The sequence below is a fragment of the Homo sapiens genome, chromosome 7, assembly GCF_000001405.40.
Source record: "Homo sapiens chromosome 7, GRCh38.p14 Primary Assembly".
Lineage (NCBI taxonomy): Eukaryota > Metazoa > Chordata > Mammalia > Primates > Hominidae > Homo > Homo sapiens.
Window position 1 is genome coordinate 151,946,929 of NC_000007.14, and position 24,868 is coordinate 151,971,796.

General features: G+C 44.6%; 1 protein-coding gene and 2 long non-coding RNA genes across 11 annotated transcripts in view, besides 1 other annotated feature; 1 reads left to right on the forward strand and 2 right to left on the reverse strand.

The window, feature by feature from the left end:
- LOC105375570 (uncharacterized) lies at nucleotides 1-7,994 on the reverse strand. Its single transcript, XR_007060597.1, has 3 exons — nucleotides 7,457-7,994; nucleotides 3,670-3,985; nucleotides 1-341 (listed from the first exon to the last, which is right to left on the reverse strand). It is a non-coding gene; the product is annotated as an uncharacterized LOC105375570 (long non-coding RNA).
- Nucleotides 4,802-5,002: a silencer, noted in NCBI's record as "peak6850 fragment used in MPRA reporter construct". NCBI's record gives its function as "represses an SCP1 promoter by STARR-seq MPRAs in K562 erythroleukemia cells {active_cell/tissue: K562}" and the evidence as "EXISTENCE:reporter gene assay evidence [ECO:0000049][PMID:32103011]".
- Nucleotides 7,995-8,270: 276 nt separating the features above from the next.
- On the reverse strand, nucleotides 8,271-9,417 carry LOC105375571 (uncharacterized). The gene is made up of 2 exons (XR_928179.2): nucleotides 9,323-9,417; nucleotides 8,271-8,777 (listed from the first exon to the last, which is right to left on the reverse strand). It is a non-coding gene; the product is annotated as an uncharacterized LOC105375571 (long non-coding RNA).
- A 100-nt stretch (nucleotides 9,418-9,517) lies between these two features.
- Nucleotides 9,518-24,868, forward strand: part of GALNTL5 (polypeptide N-acetylgalactosaminyltransferase like 5) — a 63,484-nt gene continuing 48,133 nt past the window's right edge. For 2 of the 9 annotated variants that reach the window (NR_033169.2, XM_006715862.5), the window contains exons 1-4: nucleotides 9,518-9,681; nucleotides 10,855-10,958; nucleotides 20,280-20,565; nucleotides 24,017-24,137. Coding sequence is in view for 8 of the 9 variants with exons in the window: in XM_006715862.5 (XP_006715925.1) it covers nucleotides 20,319-20,565; nucleotides 24,017-24,137 (368 nt within the window). In the remaining variant the exon portion in view is untranslated. Of the gene's footprint in view, nucleotides 9,682-10,854; nucleotides 10,959-12,338; nucleotides 13,948-20,279; nucleotides 20,566-22,744; nucleotides 22,834-23,570; nucleotides 23,774-24,016; nucleotides 24,138-24,868 lie in introns of those variants that run through there. The other 7 variants (NM_145292.4, XM_017011796.2, XM_017011795.2 and 4 more) reach the window with 7 other exon arrangements.

Here is a 24,868-nt window from a genome sequence, read left to right on the forward strand (position 1 = left end):
TCAGTGTTACATTGTTTATTTCACTTGACACCATTCACTTATTTTTCATCTTTATCCTTTTCTTTCATGTCTCTTGTATTTGGGGTAGGCTGAACCCCTTTTCAAGAATATCCGAAATATAATGAAGCAAGAAGATAAGACTCTATTTCTTGCTCACTTGGATATTCCATGTTGCTCCACGTGGTCATTCAGGAACCAGGCTGATGGTGGCTCTGCCATCTTGAACACGTGGTTTCCAATGTTGTGTTGATTGTCATCACCCCAGGAAGAACATAGAAGGAACCTCTGGGGAGGCTTTTGGGTCAGGCCTGGCAGTGGTGCAGGTCACTTTTGCTCACCTGCTATGGAAGAGATGGTAGTCATGGTCACCACCAGCTGAAACAGGGGGAGCATATGCCCAGCTTGGAGGAGAGAAGAGGAGAATCGAGTAGGAGGAACAGCCAGCGTTCTCTTCCACAACCCTGGTCCTCCCCATCCCATCATGTTGTTCCTTGTATTCTACTAAAGTATTATTCTTGAATGCAGCTCTGTTGAGCAGCTGCATGTGAGAAGACATGTTTCTGCAACAGAGATGTGCATCGGGCAGCTCAGGCTGCCATAATAAAGACCTCAGACTGGGGCTTAAACAGCAGAAACTTATCCTCTCACAGCTCTGGAGGCCGCAGCTCCAAGATCAAGGCCTCCGCGGGTTCAGCTTCTTCTGATGCCTGTCTCCATGGCTTGTAGATGCCATCTTCTCCCTGTGTCCTCACAGGGTCGTCCCTCTGTGTGTGTCTGTGTCCTGATCTCTTCTTCTAAGGACACCAGTCATGTTGGGTCAGGGCCCACTCATTTGGTCTCATTTTAATTGTCTCTTTCAAGACCCTGTTTCCAAACACAGTCACATTCTGAGGTACTGGGAGTTAGGACTTCAACATATGAGTTCTGTGGGGGAAACGGTTCAGCCCATAACAAGATGATACCTAGAAGAATGAAATGCAACCAGTATCGGCAGGAAAAACGCTATGGGCTTCTCCTCTCTCCCTTCTCTCTCTCTGTGAGTGTGTGTGTGACTGTGTGTGAGAGTGAATGTGTGTAAGTGTGTGAGTGTATGTGTGTGTGAGTGTGTATGTGTGTGATTGCAAGTGTGTGAGTGTGTGTGAGTGTATGTGTATTGTATGCATGTATGTGTGTATATGTGTATGAGGGTGGGTGTGTGTGAATGTGTGTATGTGTATGTGAATATGTGTGTATGTGTATGCGTGTAATGTGTGTATGTATGTGTGTGTGAATGTGTGAGTATGAGTTTGTATGTGTATGTGTGTGTGAATGTATGTGTGTATATGTGTATGAGTGTGTGTGAATGAGTGTACGAGTATATGTGTATGTGAATGTGTGTATGTGTATGTGTGTGTACGAGTGTGTGTCCAAATGTGTGTGTATGTATGTGTATGTGTGTATGAGTGTGTGAGCGAATGTGTGTGTATGTATGTGTGTATGAGTGTGTGTGAATGTGTATGTGTGTATGTGTGTATATGTATGAGTGTGTGTGAGTGTGTGTGTGGAATCTCCTACAGTACTTTTACTTGCTAACTATCTTGATAGTATCCTCAAAGTTCTCTTTATGATAATTATCTGAAAGGCCCGCTGAAATTGGCTCTGTAGGGAATGCTGAGAGAAGGCCACACAGCTAATTCACCCTGGCCATTCCTCAAAAGGGGTGGCCACCTGTCCTGCTCCCGTGCAAGGAAAGGGGCAACCCGGTACCGTGGGTTCTTTGGCACCCTTTCTCTGCAGGTGTGGGAGTGGATGTCTGCAACTTCCAATCACACTGCTGTTTTCATGATTCAGTTCAGGATTCCCGGCTCTGGGTCAGAATTTCAAAAAATACAATGATGAACACCACAGTCCCTTCCCTCCAAGAGCTCACAGGCTGATAGGGAGGACAGACCATCAGTTGTTACTGGTTTTGCAGTTAACTGGCAGCACATTTAAATTATAACAGCTCCACATAATAGCAGGTACACAGTGTGACAGGCCTGTCCTAGGGTCTCCCTGAAAAGACAGTGGTTCAATTTTCTTACACAGCCCCCTCCAGATTGTTCACCAGCTCCTCTCTTGCAGGTTTTCTAAGAGTTACAGCATGCCTGAAGACTTCTCTAAACTCTCCATCTGTACAAGCACCTGGGAAGTCAATACTATTATCCCTTCTTAGAGATCAGAAGCTCAGGCCCAGAAGGGGTTACATTTGCTCACGTTATTAAGGCTGAATGAGATCATGTAGTTCCCCGGCTCTGCAGATGGCTTTTTAGCTGAGAAATTTTTCCTCATATGAAATCTTAAGTGGAAGCCCCATATGTAAAACAGATAAAGGCAGAGATGTTCCGGCTGAAAGAGGAGTACGACCCACCCCACTCCCAGGACCCAGAAGCACCCAGGCCAATCCCGAGGGACCCAAAGAGTATGTCTGAAAACATCCTCCTTTGACAAGTGAGGCAACCGAGGCCAGAAATGGAGCAGCACAGGAGTCCTGACTTGCCATCTGGTGTGATATCCACAGCACGAGAGACACGGCCACACAGTACATACAGTACATAGTGCCCAGCCCTTCCCCAAAAGAGCCTTCAGCCATTTGTCAGTTTGACTGTGCCTTGGAAAAAAAGGGAATACCCTGACTTTTCAAAAATGGTTAGGCGCCGGGCCTGGTGGCTCATTCCTGTAATCCCAGCACTTTGGGAGGCCAAGGCGGGTGGATCACCTGAGGTCAGGAGTTCAAGACCAGGCTGGCCAACATGGTGAAACCCTGTCTCTAGTAAAAGTACAAAAAAATAGCTGGGCATGGTGGCAGACGCCAGTAATCCCAGCTACTGGGGAGGCTGAGGCAGGAGAATCACTTGAACCTGGGAGGCAGAGGTTATGGTGAGCCAAGATCACGCCATTGCACTCCAGCCTGGGCAACAAGAATGAAATCCATCTCAAAAAGAAAAAAAAAAAGAGGTTAGATATATCAAGTTCTTCTGTTCTGGGGGGATAAAAAGGGAAAAAATGGTTAGTCGTGGGTCCACCAGGAACTGTTAGATGTGATGTCTAGTCCTGATTTCAGAGGATCTGAAACAGCATCACAAGCCCCTATTAGAGTGGGGACTTGAAGTGGCCAGGTGATAAATGGCGTTTTACCTAAGTTTGAATGACAGTGAGTTGATGGGCCCACGGATCTTCTCTGCAGTTATTTCTCTGGTCCCTAAGTGTATAATTTGGATAGACATACCTAGCGATTGGTAGAATCTTTAAATTGGTTCCCTCACCTGTGTAAGAAGGATCATTACAGAAGAGTCAGCCAAGAGGAAGCCCCTGAAACTTCCCATCCCCACTCCTTGCACACCCTTCCAAGACAGTAAATCAGAAGCAAAAACCACCACATTCCAGGAACAGTTGCAGAGATCAACACCATCAAAGACTTAAAAGATGCAGGAGTAGTGGTCCCGTCATATCCCCATTCACCATCCCTGTAGGGCCCCTATCAAAATCAACTGGACCGTAGCAAATGACAGTAACTGTCTTAAACTTAATCAAGTGGTAGCCCCAGTAGTAGATGTGCTGTCTTCAGTGGGCTTTGGCACTTGGTATGGAGCACTTATTCTGGAAAATTCATTCTTCTTTATCCCCATCAATAAAACAGTCTGCCCTTACGTGGTCGGGATGGCACAATCCACTAGACTTCCCCAGGCTGTGTAACCTTCTTCTCTCTGTCACATGTGATCTGCAGGTACAGTGCTCATCCAGACCTTCCACACACATCATGCTGTTCCGCCATATTGATGTTGTCATATCAGTTAGACCTGGTGCCGTAGGAAGACACTCAGGAAGACACATGTGCACCAGATGGGAGATACACCCTATGAAGATTCAGGAGCTTCAACACTGAAGCTTTTAGAAGTCCTGTAGTCTGTGGCATGCCAAGACAGCGATTCTAAGATAAAGGACAAGTTGTTGCCCTTTGCGGCTCCTACCAAGAAAAAGGCACAGCATAGAGTGAACCTCTTTGGATTTTATAGGTGGCACAGACTTCACATAGGAGTACAGATCCAACCCATTCTGGGAGTAACTTGAAAAGCTGCCAATTTCAGGTAGGCTCAGAGGAGAAAGCTCTGCAACAGATCCAGGCTACAGGTTGCCCTCCCACTCCAGCTGCATGACCCAGCAAATGGGATGGTGCCAGAGGGACCTGTGATGAATGAGGACACTGTTGCAGGGTGGCAGGTGGTTTCTGGCAAGCCCCATAGGAGAGCTATTCTGCAGACTTATTAGAGTTTGAGAGCATGGATATGCCTCTCTAAAAACAGCTCCTGGCTTGAACCCTGATAGACACTGAGCTTCTGATCATTAGATACCAAATGGCTGTGTGACTACAGCTGCCCATTACAAGGTGGGTTTTATCAGAGTCACTGAGGGATAAGGTCAGGTGGGCAGAGCAACAATCCACCAAATGATGGGAAATGTTATACACCTGAGAGGGTGAGTTGGCCTGAGGTACAAGGATACCTGGAGCCTTGGTCAGTAGGAAATGTCCTGGGATTGGAAAGAGTACAATGGAAAGACCAGAGGCAACGAAAGCCTAAGAAAGGAGCTTACTTATCCCTTTTCAGTCCGGAGATTGGAAAGAGGATGATGGAAAGACCAGAGGCAAAGAAGTCTGAGGATGGACCCATGCTGGTGGCACAAACTGAGCACACCATAGTGCCTCGAGTTAATGCTCATCAGAGAATGTCCACCTGAGCCTCTCCTTGGTCACCAGTGCTGGTGCAATGCTCCTGCAACAGATTATACAAGAAGAGACCATTCATGAACCCGACAACGTGGTCTCCCTCTCACCAAGGCCGATTCAGTCACTATTGCTGCTGGATAGCCAGCCTGTCTATAGCTAAAATTAAAAAGAGTGACAACGCCAAATGGGAGCACACGTGGCACTAGCACTTTAGTAGAAGGTCTGACCACTTCTTAAAAGACTAAACACTCCTGGGTGTTTACTCAAGAGAACCGAAAGCGTCAGTCCATAAAAACATGAACGAGAATTTCAGAATAGCTTTATTCGTAAAGGCTCCAAACTGGAAACAGTGTGGTGCTATCAACTGAATTGCATCCCCCTCAAATTCATATGTTGAAATCCTGACCCCTAGTACCTTAGAATGGTACTGACTGTGTTTAAAGATAAGGCCTTTAAAGAGGCAGTTAAGTTAAAATGAGGTTGTTAGAGTGAGCCTTAATACAATCGGATTGGTGCCCTTTTAAGAAGAGGACATTACAACACCCAGAGAGAGAACCCCACGGGTGTGTGCACACCTAAGAAAGAGCATGTGAGGACAAAGCAAGAAGGTGGCCAACTGCAAGCCAAGGAGAGAGTCCTCAGAGGAATCCAACCCCACTGGCAGCTTAATCTTGGACTTGTAGCCTCCAGAGCTATGAGAAATTAATTTCAGGCCAGGTTCAATGACTCACGCCTGTAATCCCAGCACTTTAGGAGGCCAAGGTGGGCAGATTATAAGGTCAGGAGTTCAAGACCAGCCTGGCATGGTGGCCAACATGGTGAAACCCCATCTCTACTAAAAATACAAAGATTGCCCATGTCTATAATCCCAGCTACTCGGGAGGCTGAAGGAGAAGAATTGCTTGAACCCAGAAGGCAGAGGTTGCAGTGAGCTGAGATCGCGCCTCTGCACTCCAGTCTGGGTGACAGAACGAGAGACTCTGTCTACAAAAAAAAAAAAAAAAAAAAAAAATTAATTTTGGTTGTTAAACCACCAAGCCTTTAGTACTTTGTTATGGCAGCCTGAGCAAACTAAACTACCCAGGTATTCATGACCAAAATAATGAAAAAACAAATGGTATGGTATGATTTTAATGATAAAAATCTACTCACCAATAAAAAGTAAACTACTGATACATGAAACAATAAGTCTCAAAAATATTATGCTGAATGAAAGAAACCTTACACAAGGTTTCCTACCACTTATCATATCCTTTCAGTTACATGAAATTCTATAGCAGGCAAAACTAATATATGGTAAATAAAATCAGAATAGTGCTTGCTTCTGGGGCCAGATGGTAATGGGCACTGACAGCAGAGAAGGACCGTGTAGGAACTTTCTAGGTTCTGTAATTTTTAAAAGGGTTCAGTTACACAGGAGTATGGGCTTGTTAGCCTGAGAAACAGAACCAGTAAGAGAAACACATGAAGAAATGTATTGCCAGGAGTTGGCTGGTGCACAACGGTAGGGGCTGGCAAGGCAAGTCTGAAATCGGTAGGGCAAGCCCTAAGGAAGGGCTGTTCATGACTCGTTTTCCTTTCCCTTGGGAAAAATCTTGGAAATAAAAATTCTATGGTGTAGCTGCTTTATAAAACAGTCTGGCAATTACTCAAAAAATTAAACCTGGAGTTACCACATGCAACTCTACTCCTATGTGTATACTCAAGAGAACTGAAAACTTATGTCCACACAGAAATGTGTACAGGAATATTCATAGCAGTACTATTTATAACACCCCCAAAGTGGAAACCAGCTAAATATTCACCAGTTGATGAATAGATAAATAAAATGGGGTATTTTCAAACAACAGCTCATTATTCAGGCATAAAAAGGAATGAAATACTGACAAATGCCACAAAATGGATGAAAGGTGAATTGTACGAGATGTAATATCTCAATTAAAAAATAAAGTTCCAGGCCGGGTGAGGTGGCTCATGCCTGTAATCTCAGCACTGAGGCTGAGGGGAGTGGATCACGAGGTCAGGAGTTCGAGACCAGCCTGGCCAACATGGCGAAACCCCATCTCTACTAAATATGCAAAAATTAGCTGAGCGCAGTGGCGTGCACCTGTAGTCCCAGCTACCTGAGAGGCTGAGGCAGGAGAATGGCAAGAACCCGGGAGGCGGAGCTTGCAGTGAACTGAGATCTTGCCCCTGCACTCCAGCCTGGGCGACAGAGTGAGACTCTGTCTCAAAAAAAGTTCGGGCACAGTAGATCATGCCTGTAATTGCAGCACTTTGGGAGGCCAAGGTGGGAGGATAGCTTGAGCCCAGGAATTCGAGACCAGCCTGAGCAACATAGCGAGGTCTTGCCTTTACGAAAACTAATATAAAATAAAAAAATTAGCTGGGTGTGGTGGCACATTCCTGCAGTCCCAGCCACTTAAGAGGTTGAGGCAGGAAGATTGCTTCAGCCTGAGAGGTCAAGGCTGCAGTGAGCCATGATCACACCAGCAGTGGTGTGATCCAGCCTGGGCAACAGAGCAAGACTCTGTCTCAAATATATAAATAAAAATATAAATAAATAAACACAATTTGAACTATTGTCCTTGAATACGGTATATGTGCACCTTTCTCAGAAAGAAAGATTTTACTTTATTACACCAAGCAAACTGTGTAATGGTTGCAAAACTCCCACAATAAAATCTTTGTCCAAAAGTTGTGTTGACTCACTTTTTTTCCCTCGTGTTTTGAGGATACGACATACATACAGTGAAGTATATACACTTTCAGTGACCAGCCCAATGCACGTTTGTACAAGTAGGCTCCGTGAAGCCTTCACTCCCCCAGATCAAGAAGACCCAGAACATTCCAGCACTCCAAAAGGCTCTCTCTTGCTCCCTCTCAGTAACCAGCAATCCTGTTCTGGCTCCCAAACACAGCTACTTGTTACTGATAGATAGATAAACTGTTCTATCACTTTAGAGTAGCTTTGCCTTTTCTTGCTCCCTTCCACATGCTGTAGGAATTTGGGTTGTGACCTCAGCAAGCCCTCGTTCTGCAGAAACTTCACAGAAATAGAATCGCGCTCTCCCATGAGCTGCTTCGGTCTCACGCCATGTCTGCGAGATGCATCCATGTTGTATGCAGCTGCAGTCTGGTCTTTTTCACTGCTGGTTTGCATTGCATTATATGAATATGCCACAGTGGGTCCATTCTACTACAGATGGACATTTGGGTTTTTTCCAGTTTGAGGCTAATATGAATAAAAGCTTACTTTTATATTATTAATGGGCAAGAAGGACCTTCCCATCGAGCCTGCAGAAAGGAGACTCATGAGTTTGGCTTGGACGTCATTAATGCCCGTCCGTCTGCCCCAGGAGGTCATTATAGCCCATTATGTTGTTACCGAGCAAAAGAGGTCACTGACCCGTGCGCTAGAAGCCAATAAATACTAAGACACTGGGTTTCAGAGAAAAGAAAAGCTTTTCATTGCAAATTGACCAACACGGAGACAGGAGTCCAGCTCAAATCTGTCTCGCTGTGCTGCCTTTAAGGAAATAATTTTATTAGAAAAGGGTTAGAGGGTGGGTTCCGGGATTAGCAGGAGATCGGTGGAAGGAAAGAGGAGGTCTGGCAAGTCCTCAGACATGCGCAGTTATCTCTTCATGCTTCCTCATGGGTGCTGTGTGCAAATCAAATTCCGGGGCAGTTAATACGAAACATGCGTGGAAATTCAGGCTGTGATATCAGCAAGCTCTTTCTGCAGAAACTCCAGTTGGCCATATTGGGTCCAACTGATTTCTGCCAGTTTTGTTATCACTTGTCACAGTTTCAGTATCTACCCCAGGAGGTCACGATTGCCCATTGTGTCTGTCCCAGGAGAGGTTGCGAGAGGTTCCCACCCACCCCCTTCCACTCACAGACCCTGAAGCAGAGCTTGTCTGGTTTCAGGCAAAACAGAGTCAGCATCCTGAAGCGGGGAGGGTCAAGTCTCCTGGGATGCGTTCAGAAGAAATTTCACAAGCATTTGGCTGAACTTGTGTACTGACATCTAAATGTTGAGTAACGTAGAGTAAAGAATTAAAAGGCAATCAAATAACCCTTTGGCTCATCTTTAAGTTTCTTCATGTTTTCTGAAAGCTTGTTCTTTTTCTTAAGTTTATTTCAAAAATGCTAAAAATTAGCCGGGCGCGGTGGCTCACGCCTGTAATCCCAGCACTTTGGGAGGCCGAGTCGGGCCGATCACGAGGTCCGGAGATGGAGACCATCCTGGCTAACACGGTGAAACCCCATCTCTATTAAAAATACAAAAAATTAGCCGGGCGTGGTGGTGGGCGCCTGTAGTCCCAGCTACTCCGGAGGCTGAGACAGGAGAATGGCGTGAACCCGGGAGGCGGAGCTTGCAGTGAGCGGAGATCGCAGAGATTGCAGAGATTGCACCACTGCACTCCATCCTGGGGGACAGAGCGAGACTCCATCTCAAAAATAAATAAATAAATAAATAAATAAATAAATAAATAAATAAATAAATAAATATAAAAAGCTAAAAATTAGGCCTTGCCTAGAGAAGAGAGTCACCCTGGATTCTAGCCTCACCTAATATGAGGCTTTCCCTATTTTCTCAGCTGAGGGGTAAGGACCCTTAGGACCTTGGAACTCCTGGATTCCACCTGCTGGTTGGAGCTTACAGGCAGGGGCCCCTGTGGGGCTGTGACGCCCTGTGTGATGTCATCAGGCTTTGTGAGGGGGACTGTACTGCCCTTTGAGTACTACTGTGTGGCCCCGCAACCCAGCACAACCAGGTATCTGCTTGGAACCCAGCCACCATAAAGCCTGCTAGCTAAAAAAAATTTTACATCTCTCAGTTCATTCGGCACAGACCCCTGCCTCATTCAGCTGTGACTCTGCTTGGAAAATTCATCAGTTACAAAGCAGCCAATGCAATTATCTCAAGGGTAGGTGAAGTGAGCCCCATGTGCTAGAAGTGGGAACAAAGATGGGGGGAAACGTCTTTCACTTTGAATCAGCGGAAGCAGTACATCAAATCACTGCGTCTTGAAGGAGGTGCTAGCTCTGGGGATTAGGTTTAAGAAGATTTATTTTATTTTTTAAAGAAGGAGTAGCCTCCTAGCTGGTTACACCACCCTAAACGTGGACTGGGCATTGTAATGGCTTTAGTTCATGAAAAATAGGGAAACTTTTCATTACATGTGTCTTTATGCTGGTAATGTTTATACAGTGACTGTATTACTTATTTGAAAAAAATAGGGAAATAAAGGCCCTTAGCAGTGTCATAAAGTCCTAGATCTTATATGGAGATCAGTATTAAGATGGTCCTAGGAAAGCTAGGGGTTAAAAATGCTGATTATAAACTGGGCACGGCAGCTGGCATCTGTAATTCCAGCTCCTGGGAGGCTAAGGTGGCAGGACCATGTGAGTCCAGGAGTTCAAGATCAGCTTGGATGAAAGAGTGAGACTCTGTCTCGAGAAAAAAAAAAAAAAAAAGGAAAAAAAGTGTTGATTATTGACAGAAGAATTAGTTGTGATATTATCTAAAGCATGGTCATGTTTTCCTGATTCAATAGACTCGTATTTTTTTAAAAACTTGGCCAGGCATGGTAGCTCATGCCTGTAATCCCAGCACTTTTGGGGGCCAAGGCAGAAGGATCACTTGAGCTCAGGAGTTTGAGACCAGCCTGGGCAACATAGCAAGACCTCATCTCTATTTAAAAAAAAAAAAAAAAAACAGGCGTGGTGGCACTCACCAGCCTGTAGTACCAGCTACTTGGGAGGCTGAAAGAGGAGGATCATTTGAGCCTGGGAAGTCAAGGCTGCAGTGAGCTGTAATTGGGCCACTGCACCCCAACCTGGGCAGCAGAGCGAGACCCTGTCTCAAAAAAAAAAAAGAAAAGAAAAAAAAAAAGAAAGAAACTCAATGACTGTAAATGCAGATTTAGGCTAGGGTTTTGGCGTGTTGGTGGGGGCATGTTGGTGACTATTAGCTGCATTCTTTTCTCTACAGGATTCTTTTGATCATCTGCTAAGTCTCTTTAATGCACTTAAAATTTTATTTGCTGTACATATGAATCCTCGTTGAAATATATTTTACAAATTCTGTGCTTTTCTAGCATTGAATTCTGCATCTTTTAGTGAAGAAAATAACTGAACATGGTTTTCTTCTGAAGACACAAAGTCCAAAGGCCAATCACACACCTCTTACATCGATCTCTTGATAGGAGGGGTTTTCTGTGTTTTGTGGGAGTATAGGGGGTGGGTTGGGAGGTGAGGTGCTTGTCACAGAGAAAACATAATATAAGAACTCATATTAGTAAAATAAGAAAATTAAGGAGGTTGGGGATATGTTCATAAGTGTTCACGTCTAAAGAGAATTCCCCCCAAGTTTTCCTGATGTATTAGAATCTTTCTAGAGAATAATTTATTTTTCAGTAATAATCCTATTGAGACAGGATTCTTTCAATGTCACTTTGCCAGCTGGACATTTCCCGGCTGGCAGCACCCGTCCTTGGGCCTCACTTGGCTCTAGGCTCACCTCTGGGCTTGCTCTCCCCACTGGACGCAGCAGGCTGCACTCGGCTGGCACTACCGACCTAGATTCTGCACACACACACCACTCTGTGCTTAGCCCATGGCTGGTCTGAGTGTGCCACAACCATCTTCCACCTTGGGCACCAGCATCTGGATGAGGGGGAACATGGTGGTGCCTGAAAACTCAGAGATGCCAACCGCCACAGAGCCCCAAGGGGTGTTACAGCTCTCACCTGGGGAGTCCCAAGGTCTGAGCCCCCAAGGACTGTTACAGCTCTCTGTCTCCTTCCTGCCACCTGCAGCATAGTGAAACGGGGTTGGGGAGGGGGGTGTGTTATGGCTTGTTTGGTTGCGGCAAACAGTGCAAGGGGTGTGTTGCAGCTCATTTGTGCTACAGCTCATTCTGTCCCACCATCCTGCTCCAGCCCACTGGTGCTCCTAGGCTGGCCCAGCCCTACCACCACTTCCCATGATGTGGGGTGGCCATCTGGCACTGGCAGAAGGTGGGAAGGTTACAGTGTTACAGCTCCTTTTGCACCCATCATTCGGTGGGTCCCAGGTCCTTGTCCTGCGTCCAAGAAGAATGAGGTTACACAGACACTGGAGAGTCAGCAAGGCAGAGAAGGGTTTTATTGAGCAACAGAACAGCTCTTGACACAAGAGGGGATCCAAAGTGGGTAGCCCTCTGTGTGAGAGGGGGCTCAAAGATGGATAGTCCCAACATGGGGCTGAGTCTGGGGTTTTCATGGGCTCAGAATGGGGAAGTACATGCTGGAAAGAGCACCAGTCCTTCCAGGTGGGCCTGGAAATAACACCATTTGATTGGCTACAAGGCATTGAGGAAGTTCTCACTCCGGTCGTGGACTCTGGCAACTCAGTTTTCAGGCTTTAAGCTGTCTTTGGCTTGAAGGTTGGATTTCACTGGGGACCTGCCCCTCTCTGCCTAGGAATTTGTCTGTCTCCTGTTGCTATCACTATCATATTAGTGCATGTGTTTATTTTGTATATTACATTTGGTTGTCTCCCCTTACCTTTTTTTTTTAACTAGTTTCTAATTGCTTTTGGTTTTTGGAGAAAGTTGACATGGAAGTTAACTTTAGATAACTTTAAAATTTAGATATTTAATAGGGAGATATGGTGGTAATGTAAATTAAAACAGCTTTATTCTCTTTTCAGGCGTCCTAATTCGCCATTTTCCCTAGTTAGAAGTTGCCTTCTTCTCTTTATATATTTGATACTTTTAATTGGCATAATCAAATATTTCATTTGTAAAGTGCTATTTATTCAATCAATGAATCTCTATTTTGCACCCAGGATCTTGGCCAGAGTGTTAAAGCCTGTGTCCTGGGGGATATTCCTGTTGTAATAAATGCTCCCAAATCAAAATTTACATTCCCCCTCCCTTAATCTGTATCCTCTGGACTCAGTCCCATATATACACCCTGCGTGCCTGCTGGTTCAAGATGGCTGATTCTGCAGCTCCTTTGGGAACACTCTCCTTCTTCCCTTAGCAGGGTAGCAGTTTCCCACACAGGCTAAGTTGTAATGTGACCCTACTTATTGATCTGGTGGCCAGGAGGGTACTGGGGGGAAGGTCCTGAGGCAGGGCACGTGTTGCCTTGCAAAGCAGAGGAGGAGAGCTAGCCTTGTTGGGGAGCAGTGGGCCATTTCTGTAGGCTCAGAGGGTTCCTGTGGACCTGGGCCTTCCAGGTCTCTGGCGTGTCTCTACCCAGACATCCCCATCCCACGTGTCAGAGCCTTCCTCCTTCCCTGGATAGAAGACCAGCCAGGCTTGAGAATTCAACCTTCCCTGGAGTTCTGCTGCCCAGATAATCAGGCCCTGGGCATGATCCTCAGCTCTCCCCGCCCTTCGGTTGTAGGAAATGAGATCCTTCATATGCTAACAAGGGCCTCTGACTCTGTTAATTTGCTTTAAATTGGTGATTACCACCCTCAGCCTTCCTTGCCTTTTTCAGATGCAACCATGGCATCCGGCAATAGCCATCTACCTTGCAATATTTATAATTACTCCTCCCTGTTCCTCAGTCAAGCGCACCAACCAGAAAATTCCTTTCCACCTATATTCCATCCTGATTCACAGCCAGTGAGATTTTAACAAGCACATATCAGCCACAGTATGCCAGGGGCTTTCAGAACACCACCTTTCCACCAGCAATGGGATGCTCAGGGCCAGCCGCCTGGAGGGTGGCTTAGCCCTAAAATCCCCTTTACAGCCCATTTTCCTGGACCATTAGCAACCATCATACTAGGTCAAGTTCCCCAGGAAGAAGACTATTCGACTAAGATTTGCATGGAAAACTTTATTCGGAGCAGATCTGGGGACAAACACTGCAAGGCAGGGACACAAGTAGGTTCAATCAGAGGAAGAGCCTAGATGGCAGTGCAGCTTCCAGAAGAGACTCCACCCACCCCACAGGCAGCTTGCGCTCTCCAGAGTCCCCCCAGATAGACAAGGGAGCTGCACCCATTGACCAGTCTTTGAATGCGAGATCCCCAGAGAGGGGGACACTTGGGCAAAGCGGCTTGCCTCGGTCATGAGCTGTGAGCCTGTGGCAGCTACTTCTCATGGCAGCTGGGAGAATGGGTGTCTCTGCCCTGAAGGCGGTGTCTCGGTAGCGCAGCACAGCATCCCATGTAGAAGACATCTTGTCCAGGTGAGTTCAAGTCTCTTTGAGGGGACAATGTCCTATTCTGGTGCTTTGATGCCATGGAATTGCTCTGGATACCAAGTTCTGTCAAGCAGCGTGGGTTTCCTACTGAAGCTACAATGTATATGCAAGCCAGTTCCTGGGACATGCCTAAGGTCAAAACCGTAGAAGTCAAAGCCAAGCATGGGGGCGTGTGCCTATAGCTCCAGCACTTTGGGAGGCCAAAGACGGAGGATCACTTGAAGCCAGGAGTTCGAGGCTGCAGTGAGCTATGATCATGCCAACTGCACTCCAGCCTGGGTGACAGAGTGAGACACCAACTCACAAACAAAACAAAGCTGTGCACAGTGGCTCACACCTGTAATCCCAGCACTTTGGGATTAATCCCTTGGGAGGCCAAGGCAGGCAGATTGCTTGAGCTCAGGAGTTCGAAACCAGCCTGGGTAACATGGCAAAACGCCAACTCTACAAAAAAAAAAATACAAAAACTAGCCGGGTGTGGTGGTGGGCACCCGTAGTCCCAACTACCTGGGAGCCTGAGGTGGGAGGATCACTTGAGCCAGGGAGGTAGGTCAAGGCTGTAGTGAGCCAAGATTGCACCACTGCACTCCGGCCTGGGTGACAGAGCTAGACCCTTTCTCAAAACAAAACTGTAGAAGCCAAATTCTGTTCTCAAGTTAGAGAGAGGACAAAAATGGGAGACAATAGTAAATATTCAAAGGCCAAGAGGATACTTGAGCAAATCAGAGTGTGGGTCGAAGGAGGACAGACGCTGACGGTCCTAGAGCTTGGATTTACCTGCAGGGCCTAAGGCTCATTTCAGGGATTACCTTTTCCAGGTGCAGGGATGACATGTGATGGAAAGGGGCAGGGTCCAGGGGACAAGTGGCTGATGTATTCTTGTGTTTACCAGTATCCATGCTGTTTGATATGGTTTGCATTTCTAATCTGTTTAGAAAATCTTTATTTTAAAAATATTTTTCAGTGTAATGCATACATATAAAAAATAAAATAAAAACAAAATCTTATAAAGAAAATCAGCAGGTCCCTGCCCAGTTCCTGCCCAGCCCCCAGTTCAACTCCCTCTTACAATCACTTTTGACTCTTCAATCTGTTTCTTATGATAGTTACCTTCTTTTTTTTTTTTTTTTAATGGAGTCTCTCGCTCTGTTGCCCAGGCTGGAGTGCAGTGGTGTGATCTCGGCTCACTGCAACCTCCAACTCCCGGGTTGAAGCGATTCTCCTGCCTCAGCCTCCTGAGTAGCTGAGATAACAGGCGCATGCCACCACACACAGCTAATTTTTGTATTTTCAGTAGAGACAGGGTTTTACCATGTTGGTCAGGCTGGTCTTGAACTCCTGACCTCGTGATCCACCCACCTCAGCTTCCCAAAGTGCTGGGATTACAGACCTGAGCCACAGAGCCCAGCCCACCTTCATATTTTAAACGGAGTTCTTAGACTTCTATTTTTTTAATTAATTTTATACATCAACTTCATTTTTATTACATGACCTCCATTTCTTCTAGTTTATTTTTCCTTAAAAAAGTCTGTGTGATTTTTTTTTCTTTTTTTTTTTTTTTGGTTAATGCAGTAATCAGTGTTTGCATCTTATCACTCTGTAAATACTGTTCCTTAATTTTTACCATCAGCTGTGTCATCCACCTAAACTTCTCCATCCCACATACTCTTCCTCTCAACGGGGTTGCATTCAATGTCCTGGGTCCATGTCTGGGTTTTGTTTGTTTGTTTGTTTAATAGACAGAGTCTTGCTCTGTCTCCCAGACTGGAGTGCAGTGGCATGATCTCAGCTCACTGCAACCTCCACCTCCCGGGTTCACACAATTCTCTTCCTCCAGCCTCCCAAGTAGCTGGGATTACAGGAGCCCACCACCATGCCCAGCTAATTTTTCTATTTTTAGTAGAGACAAGCTTTCACCATGTTGGCCAGTCTGGTCTCGAACTCCTGACCTCAAGTGATCCACCCACCTCGGCCTCCCAAAGTGCTGGGATTCCAGGAGTGAGCCACCATGCCCGGCCCATGTCTTCTTTATTTGCTTTTTCCTTTATTGCCATTTGCAATCCACAGGTAGTTTCCCAAAAAAAAGAATACATGGAGAGTAATTTTTGTGAGCCCTTTACATAGCTGAAAATATTTTTATTCCACTCCCAAGCTTGATTAAATTTTGACTAGATCAAGAATTGATGCATAAAATTTCAAGCTGTTTTATAGTTTCACAATCCAGTGTTGCTGTTGAGAAGTTTGATGTCATTTTGACACTCTTTCTAGTCTCATTCATTATATGGGGCATTCTGTGGGCCCCTTTAGTTCTGCAAATGTTTGTATGATTGCGTTGACAATTTCCTCTCCATTTTTCTCTCATCACTTTGTGGAACTCATTACTGGGTAGATGTTCTTTCTGCCTTCTAGAATGAAACACCACAGGTCTCAACTTTCTCTTAGGCTTCCCTCTGCCATTTTCTTGTGCATTTCAAAATATTCCTTTCCCACCATTTTTCTAATGATTTTTATTATGTATTTATTTTGAGACGGAGTCTCACTGTGTTGCCCAGGCTGAAGTGCAGTGGCACAATCTAGGCTCACTGCAATCTCGGCCTCCCGGGTTCAAGCCATTCTCGTGCCTCAGCCTCCAGAGTAGCTGGGATTATAGACGTGGGCAATCATGCCCAGCTAATCTTTGTATTTTTAGTAGAGATGGGGTCTCACCATGTTGGCCAGGCTGGTCTCCAACTCCTCACCTCAAGTGATCCGCCCACCTCGGCCTCTGGAAGTGCTGGGATTACAGGCATGAGCCACTGCGCCTGGCCATTTATTCTAATTTTTAAATGTGAACAATCGTGTTTTAAATTGCAGCTTCCCCTTTTTATTCTCTCAATGCTCCTTTTTGATAGCCTGTTCCTCTGGTTGTATGACTGTAGCACCTTCTTTGATCTCTCTGAGCAACCAACATCAATGTTTTGATATTTTCAAAGTTCTCATTTCTTTCTTCCCCTTTCTGGTTCTATTTGCATTTTCTTTCCTTCTGGAGTCTTTCCTCAAATGTCTCAGGCAATCCTTGGCAGCTGTAGGAGTCAGCTCCGGCTGCCATAACCAAGTCCAACAGACTGGGAGGCTTGGCCAACTCTGATTTTCCTACAGTTCTGGAGGCTGGAGTCGGCATCCAGCTGCCGGCAGGTTTGGTTTCCCTGAGGCCTGTCTTCAGGGCTTGCAGGTGGTTGCCTTCGCGCTGTGCCCTCACCGGTCTTTTCTCTGTGCAAGCACCTGCCTGGGGACTCTTCCTCTTCCCATAAGGACACTGGTCCTATTGGAATTGGGCCCACCCTGTGACCTCATATAACCATAATTACCTCTTTAAAAGCTCTGTCTCCAAATGCAGTCGCACTGGGGCTTGGTGCTTCCACATGTGAGTTGCAGGGGGACACAGTTCCGTTCATTGCAGCATTCGATTCTGATATGGTTTGGTTGTGTCCCCACCCAAATCTCATCTTGAATTCCCACGTGCTGTGTGAGGAACCCAGGGGTAGGTCATTGAATCATGGGGGCAGGTCTTTCCCATGTTGTTCTCGTGAGAGTGAGTAAGTCTCACGAGATCTGATGGTTCTATCAGGGGGAATTTCCCTGCACAAACTCTCTCTTTGCCTGCTGCCATCCATGGTGTGGCTTGCTCCTCCTTGCCTTCCAGCCTGATTGTGAGGCCTCCCCAGCCACGTGGAACTGTAAGTCCATTAAACCCCTTTTCCTGTATAAATTACCCAGCCTCGGGTATCTTCATCAGTGTCGTGAAAACAGACTAATACTGATTCCAATCCCAAAGTGAGATGCCAACCAGCTGATTGGAATAGCTGAGTGTTGGGCCAACCTTGGCCACAGGTGTGCTGTCTTCAGGGGGACGACCCAGGGAGCCGCCTGCCTTATTGGAAGCTCTTACATTTCAGCATGTGGAGGTCTTTTCTCCAGGCCCTGTCTTCTCATCCCAGAACAATTCTATCAATCCCACCTCAGACGTAGCAACCTGGCTGCCGGGATCCTGTGTGGGAGGAAGGGAAGAAGACAGATGGACCCAGACACTCCACATCCACATATTCTAAGTGACACTCTTGGTTTTAGCCCCAAGTTTTCCTTTGTAGAGGCTCAGCCTCTACCAGTCTACTTCTCCAAAGAAGAAACCACTCTGACTCCTGCCTGGGTTTTGCTGTGCAGGGCTGGGCAAAGAGAGCTGACTATTCTGAATACTAACACGTGGCTTTCCCCAAGCCCAAAGCCATGTGTCCACTGACTCACCAGGGGCATCCAAGCCCCAAGCTGCTCCAGGGTTAGCAGCCTTGTTTCCACATCAGAGTCCTCTGTCTTTCCAAATTGTTACCACACGTCCAATAACGTTCTCGCCTCCAGACGTGTTAAAATCTCATGTGCATTGATGTTCCCTCTACCGCTCTCTTTTCCCATGAGAGTTTTTAGCTTTATTCTTATTCAGTTGAGTCAAGAGGGAGAGAAGACACACACACATTCAATCTATCATCTTTAAAGGAAACCTCGCAAGACTTTCTTCTTTCTTTTTAAAATAAATTACAATTTCAAACAGAAGGAAAATATAGAGAAAAATATCATGAGCACTCTGTGTTCTCATTTATCAAGCTCAATCAAATCACATCATTTTGCCACATTTTCTTCAGAGCTTAATTAAAAAATCAGCGTTAACAGTAGGAGGCTGGACATGGTGGCTCACACCTGTAATCCCAACACTTTGTGAGGCTAAGGCGGCAGAATTGCTTGAGCCCAGGAGTTCAAGGCCAGCCTGGGCAACATAGTGAGACCTTGTCTATACAAAAAAATAATAATAATAATAATTAGCCACGCGTGGTGGCATGTGCCTGTGGTCTCAGCTATTCAGGAAGCTGAGGTAGGAAGATCACTTGAGCCCAGAAAATCAAGGCTGCAGTGAGCCATGTTTGTGCCACTGCACTCTAGCCTGGGTGAGGGGAGTGAGACCCAGTCTCAAAAAAAAGGGATACAGTAGGAGTTCTTTATTCTCCTCCCCCCAACCATGGAGGTAATCACTGTTATGTAAATTCACTATTATATATATATATAATCACTATTATGTAAATTTGGGTACATCATTCACATGCATGGTTTTTTTCCCATGCATTTGCTACATATTGGTGTACCCATAAATAATTGCACTGCTTTTCATGTTTTCCAAATTTATATCACACCCTACTTGCTTTTTGCACATGATGTTTTTTAGACTTTACAGCAGTAGTACACATAGCTCCAGCTGATTCATTTCCATCATTGAAAGAGTAGCCTCACTTTATTAGTTCTCCTGTTGAGGGAAACTTCAGTTGCATCTAGTTTTCTTTTGTTCTTTTCTTTCTTTTTTTTTTTTTGTTTGAGACGGAGTTTCATTCTTGTTGCCCAGGCTGGAGTGCAGTGGTGCGATCTTGGCTCACTGCAACCTCCGCTTCCCAGGTTTAAGCGATTTTCCTGCCTCAGCCTCCTGAGTAGCTGGGATTACAGGTGCCTGCCACAATGCCCGGCTAATTTTTTGTATTTTTAGTAGAGACAGGATTTCACCATATTGGCCAAGCTGGTCTCGAACTCCTGACCTCAGGTGATCCACCTGCCTCGGCCTCCCAAAATACTGGGATTACAGGCATGAGCCACCACACCCGGCCAGTGTCTAGTTTTCACTATGACAAACATTACTTCAATAAACATTCTTGTACCTGTCTCATGATACATCTCTTTAGATGAGAGCTGCAACTTATGAGTCTCTTTAGGATATATCCCTAAGGATGGAATTGCTTTGTCATATCATATACATATCTTCAACATGACTAGATATTGCCAAAACGATTGTGCCATTGTGCCATTCATCAGTGGTGGGCCACAGTACTCACTGCTCCCTTTATTTCCAGCATGTGATTGTGTGTTTTTACATTTTTAACAAGCTGCTTGAAGTCAGATCAGATTTTTTAGAGATCCATACTATCACTCCAAGGTAGACTGGATCTGGATAAGGGATGAGTAAGCCTTCTTTGATGGTATTTCCTATATGTACACGAGTATGGGCCAATGACTTGAAATGACACCGTATGTTTTATAAGCATGTTATACATTTTGATGTTAAATAATCTTAGGAATATCAGTTTTAGGAATTTGTGCTAATAGAAATAAGGACACACTTTATGTATATGATAAGGGCCATCAACGTGATTGTTTTTAAAACACTAAAAATGGAATTTAAGCCAAGTAGGTGATCTACAAACCATTGGAATATCTAATGCTGCTCCTCTTAAATCATTCTGATTTAGGAAATTGAAAAATGGACCTTTGAAAATGCTAGATTTACAATGAGAAATGCCATAATTCAAGGTTTATTCTATGGGTCCTTGACATTTGGGATCTGGACAGCTCTGTTATTCATATATTTGCACCATAATCATGTGAGCAGCTGGCAGAAGAAAAGCCAGGAGCCTCTGTCAGCTTGGTCCCCTGGAAAAAAAGTGCATCAGCAAATTATCTATGGCTCAGAGCAAATACCAAAACCTCATGTAATAGTCAAAAGGACTGATGAAGATAAAGCAAAGTCTATGTTAGGTAAGTATTTGGATTTTTTTCCGTTAGCCATTTGAAGGGGAAAATGTACAACAATATTTAATATTTGGAAGAGTACGAGACTATCCTTTTTAAAGCAATTTACTTTTTAAGATATAAATTATTTTATATAGTGTATATATCTATACATAGAAAATAATAAAACAAGTATGCATGTATTTACCACTTAAATTTATCATTTTAAATATCATTTGGCTATATTTGCTTCAGAGAGCTTTCTGTTTTTCCAAGAAATAAGTTGTAATAGTACAGTAAAAACTCCACCTCCCTCCCGTCCCCACGCCACCCTCAGAGGTTGTCTGACCTGAATTGATGGGTGTCTTTCTCATGTATGTCTTTCCACTTCCTCTGTATATTATCCCTAAGCAAAATATTGTGTTCTATATTTTTAATATATTTTTAGGTATTCTGATACACATATCTTTTTGGAATTTGCTTTTGTCCCTCATCACTATGTTTGTAAGATTATTTTTCCATGTTCCCACACATGAAGACCTAGTTTTGCCAGGCATGGTGGCTCACACATGTAATCTCGACCCTTTGGGAGGCCAAGGCAGGAGGATCACTTGAGGCCAGGAGTTCAAGACCTGCCTGGGGAACATAGCAAGACACCACCTCAACAAAAATAGTAATAAAAACTAGCCAGGTGTAGTGGTGCATGCCTGCAGTCCCAGCTACTTGGAGAGCTGAGGTGGAAGGATCGCTTGAGCCCAGGAAGTCAAGGTTACAGTGAGCTATGATTGGGCCACTATACTCCAGCCTGGGCAACAGAGTGAGATGCTGCCTCAAAAAAAAATAAATAAATAAAATACAAATATGAAGACCTAGTTTAACAAAATAAACCCAAAGAAAGATGAAGAAAATAAGAGTAGAAATTAAAGCCTTAACACACAGGCCTACTATTTCTGTGGATCCCTGCTCTGAACGGCCCTCCCACTAGATGACTAGGTAGGTGTGGGCCTGAAACCCTACCCTAAGCACTACTCCAGCGTGTGACACACGACAGCCCCTTGGCAGGTCTCCTGCTCATTTCCCCGAGGTCACACCCTAATTCTGGCTCTCAGTCTTACCACTCGGATGGTGAGAGAAAGGAGAGAAACAGCAAACCAAGGGTGAGTGCCAGGGGGACAGTGTTGCTTTCTGGGATGTGAGTAGAACCTGATTCTCTGCCAAGTGAAACAAGTATTGGGATGGCCAAACTGTTCCCCAAAGTAGCTGGGCCACTTTACGTGAGTGTACGAGAATCCCATTTTCTCTGGATCTTTGCCAACACTTGACATGGTCCAGTTTTTAAATTTTAGTTATTCTAATGGGTGAGTAAAGCCATCACTTTGGTCTTAATTTGTATTTCCCTGATGACTAATGATTTTGAGCACATTTTCATGTGCTTGATAACCACTCATATACTGTCTTTTGTAGAGGATCTTTTGGAATCTTTTGTCTATTTTTAAATGGCATGTTTTTCTTCTTAATTTTTAAGACTTCTTTATATATCCTAAATTCAAGTTTCTTGATATGTGAGTTTCAAATGTTTTGGACAAATATGTAGTTTGCCTTTTTATTCTCTTTAATGGTGTTATTCAAAAAGCACAATTTTACATTTTAAAATTTTCGGTTTTTTATTTTTCATAAGTCCCCAAAATGCCTCACAATGTTACATTTTGGTGCTGTTCAATTCATCCCATTTTCTTGTATGATTTATGGTTTTTATGTTTCATCTGAGAAACCTTTGCTTACAAGTTCACAAAGATTTCATTCTATGTTTTCTTTTGGAAATGAATTTAAAGTTTTAGGTTTCACATTAAGGCCATGATCTATTTCGAGTTAATTTTTGTGATGATGTGAGGTAAGAATAAATGCTCATTTTTTCCATATGGATATTGTGAGAAACAAACTCACCCATCCAAACCCAATGAATGGACTCAGAGACCCAGAGAATAGTCAAAGTGAGACTTTTAATGGCGGTGATGCAAGAGCGGGTGTCTGGCACGCAGACACAGCCAGCACAGTTTCAACCAGCAATGTATCCCCTAGTGCGCAGATCCCTCCCCGGTTCCTCATAGACTGAGTACTATGAGGTCACCATCTTCCCGGATGTCGCCTATTGATTGTTAGACAGGGGCTTCAAGTATGTTCTTTAGGGTCTTTCTGCTGCATTTTATTGCAGCCCACAATGCATTGCAACTCTCTCAGGACTCTTCAAACATTTGATTTATGGCCCTAGTGGCTGCACTTAGCTGATAAGAAAGGGTACAATTACCTATGTTGCAAGCTAAACAAAACTAAATTTTTGTTTTGTTTTGTTTTGCTTTTGAGATGGAGTCTCGCTCTGTCGCCCAGGCTGGAGTGCAGTGGCACGATCTCGGCTCACTGCAAGCTCCGCCTCCGGGGTTCACGCCATTCTCCTGCCTCAGCCTCCCGAGTAGCTGGGACTACAGGCACCAGCCGCCACGCCTGGCTATTTTTTTTTTTGTATTTTTAGGAGAGACGGGGTTTCACCGTGTTAGCCAGGATGGTGTTGATCTCCTGACCTCGTGATCCACCCACCTCAGCCTCCCAAAGTGCTGGGACTACAGGCGTGAGCCACCGCACCCGGCCCCAAAACTGAATTCTTTGGTGGGTGGGGAGGGGGTAGTTGGGGGGGCCCCCACCAATAGACGCCTGGCCGCTGGGTGAAAGGGAAAGCAGGAAGGGGCGGGGGGTGGGGGTGGGCTCAGTACATTCTGCTTCTTTATCTCCCTATTTCCATGTAGCCTGCTTAAACCTATACTAAGCCACTTAGAATTGAAAATGGACCATCACATATAGGTTATTTTCTACAGATAATCCAGATGATCCAACACCATTTGTTGATAAACTTCCCTTTCCCCACTGATACAATCAGAATATTTATCCCTCCATGTCTCATGTTGAAATTTGTCCCACAATGTTGAAGGTGGAGCCTGGCAGGATGTGTTTGGGTTACGTGGCCAGATCCCTCATGAATGGCTTGGTGCCTGCCTACAGTAATGAGCTCTCCTTCTATTAGCTCATGGGAAAGCTGGTTGTTTCAAGAGCCTGGCATCCCCCGCTCCTTGCTCCCTCTCTCACCACGTGACCTGCCTGTTTCCCTTTTACCTCCTGCCAAGATTGGAAGCTTCCTGAGGCCCCCACCAGGAGCAGATGCTGGCTCAATGCTTCCTGCAGAACTGTGAGCCAAATAAATCTCTTTTCTTTATAAATTACCCAGCCTCAGGTATTCCTTTATAGCAATGCAAAATGTACTAAAACACCCACCTTTGCCAAGAATTATTTGACCATTTTTGCACAGATCGATTTCCGAATTCTATTCTGGTTCTTTTAAAAAATTGTTTTGGTTATTCTAGATCTTTCCTTTCCTGCATCACTGCTAGTAAGCCTTTACTTATATGATTCTAATTACATTTTCTTGCAGGTACAGATTTTAACCATACAAACCCAGAACTTCATAAAGAACTTTTAAAATATGGATTTAATGTGATTATCAGTAGAAGCTTGGGCATCGAAAGAGAAGTGCCAGATACCAGGAGTAAAATGTATGTTGTCTCTCTCTTTCTCTCATTCTCTAGATAGATAGATAGATAGATAGATAGATAGATAGATAGATAGAAAGAAAACAGTTACTAACCAGATTTTAATTTGATCATACTAGAAATGTTATAGATTCCTATTTTTAGGACTTGAAGTCAGATAATGTCAAGATTCTATTTCAAGATTCTAATGCTTATAGTGTAGAGAATGTCTTCTTCGTGGGCACAAAATGTGTTCTAGAGGCTTCCAAGAATTGAGTTACCCACAGATCTTTTTATTAAATCACCAATAAGGGCTTCTGGCCAAAGGGGCATTCATTCCTGATAGAAAATGCTCTGGACAGCTACTTTTTATTCCCCAAAATTTACTTTTTTCAAAAAAATTGTTCTTTCAATTGTTGCATTAATAATTATTATGTTAATGATTAACATAATCATTGTTATGTGATAAAATACACATAACATAAAATTTGCCATTTTAATCCTCTTTAAATGTACAATACAGACATTCACATTGTGCAGCCATCGATACCATCCATCTCCAGAACTCTCTCACCATCCCAAACTGAAATTCTGTACCTGATATGGTTTGGCTCTATGTCCCCACCCAAATCTTGTCTTGAGTTGTAATCCCAGGTGTCAAGGGAGGGACCTGGTGGAAGGTGATTGGATCATGGGGGTGGTTTCCCTCATGCTGTTCTCATGATAGTGAGGGAGTTCTCATGAGACCTGATGAT